This window comes from Homo sapiens, chromosome 14, assembly GCF_000001405.40.
Source record: "Homo sapiens chromosome 14, GRCh38.p14 Primary Assembly".
NCBI classification, from domain to species: domain Eukaryota; kingdom Metazoa; phylum Chordata; class Mammalia; order Primates; family Hominidae; genus Homo; species Homo sapiens.
In genome coordinates, this window is record NC_000014.9 from 49,762,141 (window position 1) to 49,768,141 (window position 6,001).

The 6,001-nt window shown below is 45.5% G+C and overlaps 2 annotated features.

Moving 5' to 3' along the window:
• Nucleotides 5,413-5,472: a silencer, noted in NCBI's record as "silent region_5705". NCBI's record gives its function as "represses an Ori minimal core promoter by ATAC-STARR-seq in GM12878 lymphoblastoid cells {active_cell/tissue: GM12878}" and the evidence as "EXISTENCE:reporter gene assay evidence [ECO:0000049][PMID:35858748]".
• Nucleotides 5,813-5,892: a silencer, noted in NCBI's record as "silent region_5706". NCBI's record gives its function as "represses an Ori minimal core promoter by ATAC-STARR-seq in GM12878 lymphoblastoid cells {active_cell/tissue: GM12878}" and the evidence as "EXISTENCE:reporter gene assay evidence [ECO:0000049][PMID:35858748]".

Consider the following 6,001-nt stretch of genomic DNA (forward strand, 5'->3'; position numbering starts at 1 on the left):
CCCATTACACTTAGGTTACACCTTTTGTGATTGTGCCACAGTTATTGGATATTCTAGGGGAGTCTGAGGTGCCTTTTTTTTTCTTTTTGGTCTTTTTTCTCTTTGCGTTTCAGTTTTGGAAGTTTTATTGACATACCCTCAAACTCAGAGATTCTTTCCTCAGCTATGTCCAGCCTACTAGTTAGTTCATCAAAGGCATTCTTCATCTTCGTTACAGTTTATTTGATCTCTAGCATTTCTGTTTGGTTCTTTCTGAGAATTTCCATATCTTCTCTATTTACCTTACCCATCTGACTTAAGCAATCCTCCCACCTCAGCCTCCTGAGTAGCTGGCTGGTTCCACAGGCGCATGCCACTATGGCCGGCTAATTTTTGTATTTTTTGTAGATAACAGTGTTTTGCCCTGTTGCCCAGGCTAGTCTTGAACTCTTGGGCTCAAGCGATCTGCCTGCCTAGGCCTCCTAAATTGCTGGGATTATAGGGGTGAGCCACTGTGCCTGGCCATTACCCATCTGTTCTTGCATTTGACTACTTTTTCCATTAGAGGCTTTAGCATATTAATCATAGTTGTTTTAAATTCCTAGTCTGATAACTTCAACATTCCTGTCTTATCCGAGTCTGCTTCAGATGCTTGCTCATTTCTTCACACTGTGTTTTTTGTTGTCATTGTTTTTTTTGAGAGAGTCTCACTCTGTTGCCCAGGCTGGAGTGCAGTGGTGCGATCTTGGCTCACTGCAACCTCTGCCTCCCAAATTCGAGTGATTTTCCTGCCTCAGCCTCTGGAATAGCTGGGATTACTGGCATGTGCCACCACACCCGGCTAATTTTTGTATTTTTAGTAGAGACAGGGTTTTGCCATGTTGGCCAGGCTGGTCTCAAACTCCTGACCTTAGGTGATCCACCCGTCTCGGCCTCCCAAAGTGCTGAGATTTCAGGCATGAGCCTCCACACCCAGCCCACGATGTTTTGACTTTTATTATGCCTTGCAATTTTTTGTTGAAACCTAAACATGATGAGCTGGGTGAAAGAAACTCTGGTAAATAGGCCTTCTGTGGTGTGGTAGTAAGAAGTGTGGGGAGGGAAAGCATTCTGTAGTCCTATAATCATCTGTCTTTTTAGGAGCCTGTGCCCCTGGACTATCAACTTCACCCCAGTTCTCAGTTTTTCCCCCACTTAGGTGGAACAGAATGGCTAGAGGCGGCTGGAATTAGGTATTTTCCTTTTGCCAGGTAGAGTAGGCTTTGATAAAATAGTTTCTCCTGAGGCAGCCCTTGTTAAGAAGAACTAGCATATTTCAAAATGGTTCCTTTTTCCTTACCCTTGCTGGAAGCATGAGATAATTTTTCTCTGATATTTACTGTAAGAACCTAAGAGACCTCCTGGAGGTAAACTCAAAAAAGTGTGAGGATCGTCCTATGACTGGGTCCCCCGGAGTTGTGGTTTTGTTTATTTGTTTGTTTTTTTGATACAGGGTCTTACTCTGTTGCCCAGGCTGGAGTGCAGTCATATGATCTCAGCTCACTGCAGCTTCCTGGATATAAGCAATTCCTGTGTCTCACCCTCCCTAGTAGCTGGGACTACAGGCAAGTGTCACCAAACCCGGCTATTTTTTATATTTTTAATAGAGATGGGATTTCACTATGTTGATCAGGCTGATCCCGAACGCCTGACCTCAAGTGATCTGCCCACCTAGGCCTCCTAAATTGCTGGGATTACAGGCATGAGCCACCACACCCAGCCCCCTGGAGTTTTTAAGTCTAAAACGTGTTCACACTGAGCCTCCAACAAGTCATCAATTACTGTAAAGTTTTTATGCTCCCAAACTGGTAGCTCAGAAGGTTTTTGCTCATGGGTTTCTGCTTTGGTAAATTGTGATTCTCTGTATTCACCCATCTGTCTCTGCAGTTTGACAGGCAGTGGTTTGCACTGTGACCTCACTTCTCTGATTGATCTAAGAACAGTTGTTGATTTTTCAGTTTGCTCAGCTTTTTGTTTGTTGTTAGGATGGAGTGGCAGCTTCTAAGCTGTTTACATGCCAGACTAAAAACTGGAAGTCTTGGGCAGGGCACAGTGGTTCATGCCTGTAATCCCAGCACTTTGGGAGGCCGAGGTGGTGGATCACTTGAGTTCAAGAGTTCGAGACCAGCCTGGACAACATGGTGAAATCCCCCATCTCTACCAAAAATACAGAAAAGTTAGCCGGTGTGGTGGCACACGCCTGTAGTCCCACCTACTTGGGAGGCTGAGGCGAGAGGATCGTTTGAGCCTGGGAGGTGGAGGTTGCAGTGAGCCGAGATCACGCCACTGTATTCCAACCTGGGTAACACAGTGAGACCCCACATCAAAAGGAAGAAAAAAAAGAAATTGGAAGTCTTACAAGAGTATTTTTTTCAGCAAAAGATTTTTTTGCACACATTCTGGATTATGATTATAATGATAGCATTATCAATCATTGAATTTCAAATGACCTATAGTGGATTTTTAAGAATTTTATTATCTTTACAAAGAGACTTTTATTCTTAAACTAACTTCAATTGTCTCTTCTATTTTTATTTGATAAGATGTACAATTTATAGGCAGTGATTAAAAGGTTGGAGGTCCTTTGTTGTTTTTGTTAAGATAATTGAGGGATATTAAAATGAAGGAAGTGAAAATGTCTGAGTATCAATATAGATACACATACAAAGTAGGATAAGTAATGTACTCTAAAGTTGTCAAAGGCCTTGAAATTTTTTTGATTCTATCCCATTTAGGTCAAAATTAGAAAATTTTCCTCAAAAGAAAGTGATTCTGAAAACAATATGCTTTTGCTTTTTTTTTTTTGAGATGGAGTCTCACTGTATTGCTAGCTAGAGTGCAGTGGTATGAGCTCAGCTCACGGCAACCTCAGCCTCCCAGGTTCAAGCGATTCTCCTGTCTCAGCCTCCGGAGTAGCTGGGACTACAGGTGCAGGCCACCACGCCCAGCTAATTTTTTGTATTTTAAATAGAGATAGGGTTTCACCATGTTGGCCAGGATGGTATCAATCTCCTGACCTCTTGATCTGCCCGCCTCACCTCCTAAAGTGCTGGGATTACAGGCGTGAGCCACCGCGCCTGGCCACAATGTGCTTTTGCTTTTTAAAATTAAGTTGCTGATTGTATGCCAGCCATGATCAGAGATGGCTGTTAGCTTGAGAACTGTTTAGTTTAGGACCCCTTTACACTCTTAAGAATTATTGAGTTCCTCCAAGAGCTTTTGTTTATGAGGATTTTATCTATAGATATCTGCCATATTAGAAATTAACACTAATTTTAATTTAGTTTAATGTTTAAATTTTTTAATTTATTACAAAATAACAACAAAATTGTTAACATAAATAACATTTTAAATGAAAAATAACTTTATTTTCCTAATCAAAAGAATTTCAAAAAGAATGATATTGTTTTGCATTTTTATTTTTATTTTTGAGACAGAGTCTTGCTTTCTCACCCAGGCTGGAGTGCAGTGGCATGATCTCGGCTCACTGCATCTTCCACCTCCCAGATTCAAGCAATTCTTCTGCTTCCACCTCCCAAGTAGCTGGAATTACAGGCGCCCACCACCATGCCTGGCTAATTTTTCTATTTTTTTAGTAGAGACGGGGTTTCACCATGTCGATCAGGCTGGTCTCGAACTCCTGACCTCAAGTGATCCGCCCACCTCAGCCTCCCAAAATACTGGGATTATAGGCATGAGACACTGCGCCAGGCCGACTTAAGTGAAGAAAATCTGGCCTCACACAGATACATAGTTAGAAAAGAGAGTTCCTTAAGGAGCCCCTGAAAAGGTCTCCAGGTACCCACGGGGCTTGGAACTATACTTTGATACACTGAGAAACTCTGCTTATAGTACAACTAATTAATGTGTTTCAGAGACTCTTTTTGTTGTTACTGCTCTAAGTAGGATAAAAGTATGGTTTGAAACATAAATAAGTAAATCAAAGTGGATATTATAGTATTTTATTAAATGGCATATATATACGAAATATAGGCTGGGTGGGTGCGGTGCCTCACGCCTGTGATCCCAGCACTTTGAGAGGCCGAGGCGGGTGGATCACCTGAGGTCAGGAGTTCGAGACCAGCCTGGCCAACATGGTGAAATCCCATCTCTACTAAAAAATACAAAAATCAGCCGGGCGTGGTGGCAGGTGCCTTAGTCCCAGCTACTTGGGAGGCAGAGGCAGGAGAATCGTTTGGACTCGGGAGGCGGAGGTTGCAGTGAGCCGAGATCGAGCCAGTGCACTCAAGCCTGGGGGACAAGAGCGAGACTTCTCTCGAACAAACAAAAAACAAAAACGATGATAGAAGGGTAATGTAGCTGGAAGGAGGACACAGCCAGGAATTGAAGCTGGAAAGGCAAGCTGGGTCTGGACCATGCTGGGTCTTCTTGCACAGCACTGTGATATGAATTTTTTTTTTTTTTTTTTTTTTTTTTTGAGACGGAGTTTCGTTCTTGTTGCCCAGGCTGGAGTGCAATGGTGCCCTTTTGGCTCACTGTAACCTCCGCCTCCCGGCTTCAAGAGTTTCTCCTGCCTGAGCCTCCCAAGTAGCTGGGATTACAGGCGCCGGCCACCAAGCCTGTGTAATTTTTTTGTATTTTCAGTAGAGACAGAGTTTCGCCATTTTGGCCAGGCTGGTCTCGAACTCCTGGCCTCAGGTGATCCGCCTGCCTCGGCCTTCCAAAGTGTTGGGATTACAGGCGTGAGCCACCGCGCCCAGCCGAGATATTAATTTTGGATTCTACTAAGGACGACGGGAGCCAGCTCAAGGTTTTTAAGTGACTCGATCAGATTCACGAGGTTGGTTCACAAGGAACTTCGATAACCCCAAAGTCTAGTGAGCATAATTCGACTGGGAGAAGACACTGCTGCAAGGAATTCTGTGAACCAGACAGATTTGAGGGCACCAACCAGGGTGGATGGCAGATAAGGTCTTAACAGCCTCAAGGTGATTTGCTTCCTTGTTGAAGGCTTTAATTAATCCTCTTAAGTAACTTTCAAGTTCTTGAGTTCAAGTAAACACACTGGCACACTAGGGGAGGAGTGGCAGGCTATAAGCATTTTAATAATTAAAAAAAAAAAGCCTTTTATTGTTCAAAGTGTTCCTTTTCTATGGAGTGCTCCCAACCAGAAGATGAGGGAAATGGAGATAATGAAGCACGTCCCTCCTACCAAACACGATAAATTCTACAGGCACTGTAAGATCAAGAATTTAAGATTATTTTTGTCCCACCCTATTTTACAGGTGAGGTATCAAGCACAGTAACTCGTAATTTTCTTTTGGCCCAATTGAAAGGTATCATATAAGAGAAAGCTGTGTGTGCGTGAAAAGGATCCGCCTTTCTTTCTGAAGAAAAGGGTGGTTACGGCTTCGGAAACGCTTTTCAAGCCAACTCTGCAGCCCGGCTGGCGGCGGCAGCGGCGGCGGCGGCAACGTCAGATTCCCGCAGAGGCGGCGCCCGGCAGGGGCGGCAGGAGCTCAGGAGAGGCCCCCGGGGATCGGGCTGGGCCCCACGTGAGAGCTAAGCGACTGCCCTCGCGCCCGCAGAACAGCAGGGCCTGCATCGACTCTAAGGCGAGACCAGAAACTTGCTAGTGGAGCAATTCTGGTGCCCCTGCCCGGGCTGTGAACCCTCTGAGATCATCCCTCAATCAAACGAATAGAAATCCTCGGGAAGAAAAAAAAAATTGCGGCAATCCGGCTAAAATTCAGCAGCTTTCAGGGACCGATTCAGGACATTATCCCTGTGGTTCCCTCAGTGAAAGGAGACTCGAAGCGCGACTAGAAGTCGCCGGGCCCCATAGATCTGCGGTGCCCAGGCCGTAGGCGGAGGCGCGGGCAGAGGCGGCGGCGGCGGCGGCGGCGGCTGGAGGACCCGGCGCTGGGGGCGCTGAGCGGCAGCCTCGCTTCCGGAGCTCGGCGGGCGGCGTCAGCGGAACGGGCGGCTTCCGGCCGCGGCGTAAACAAGGCCGTGGACTGCA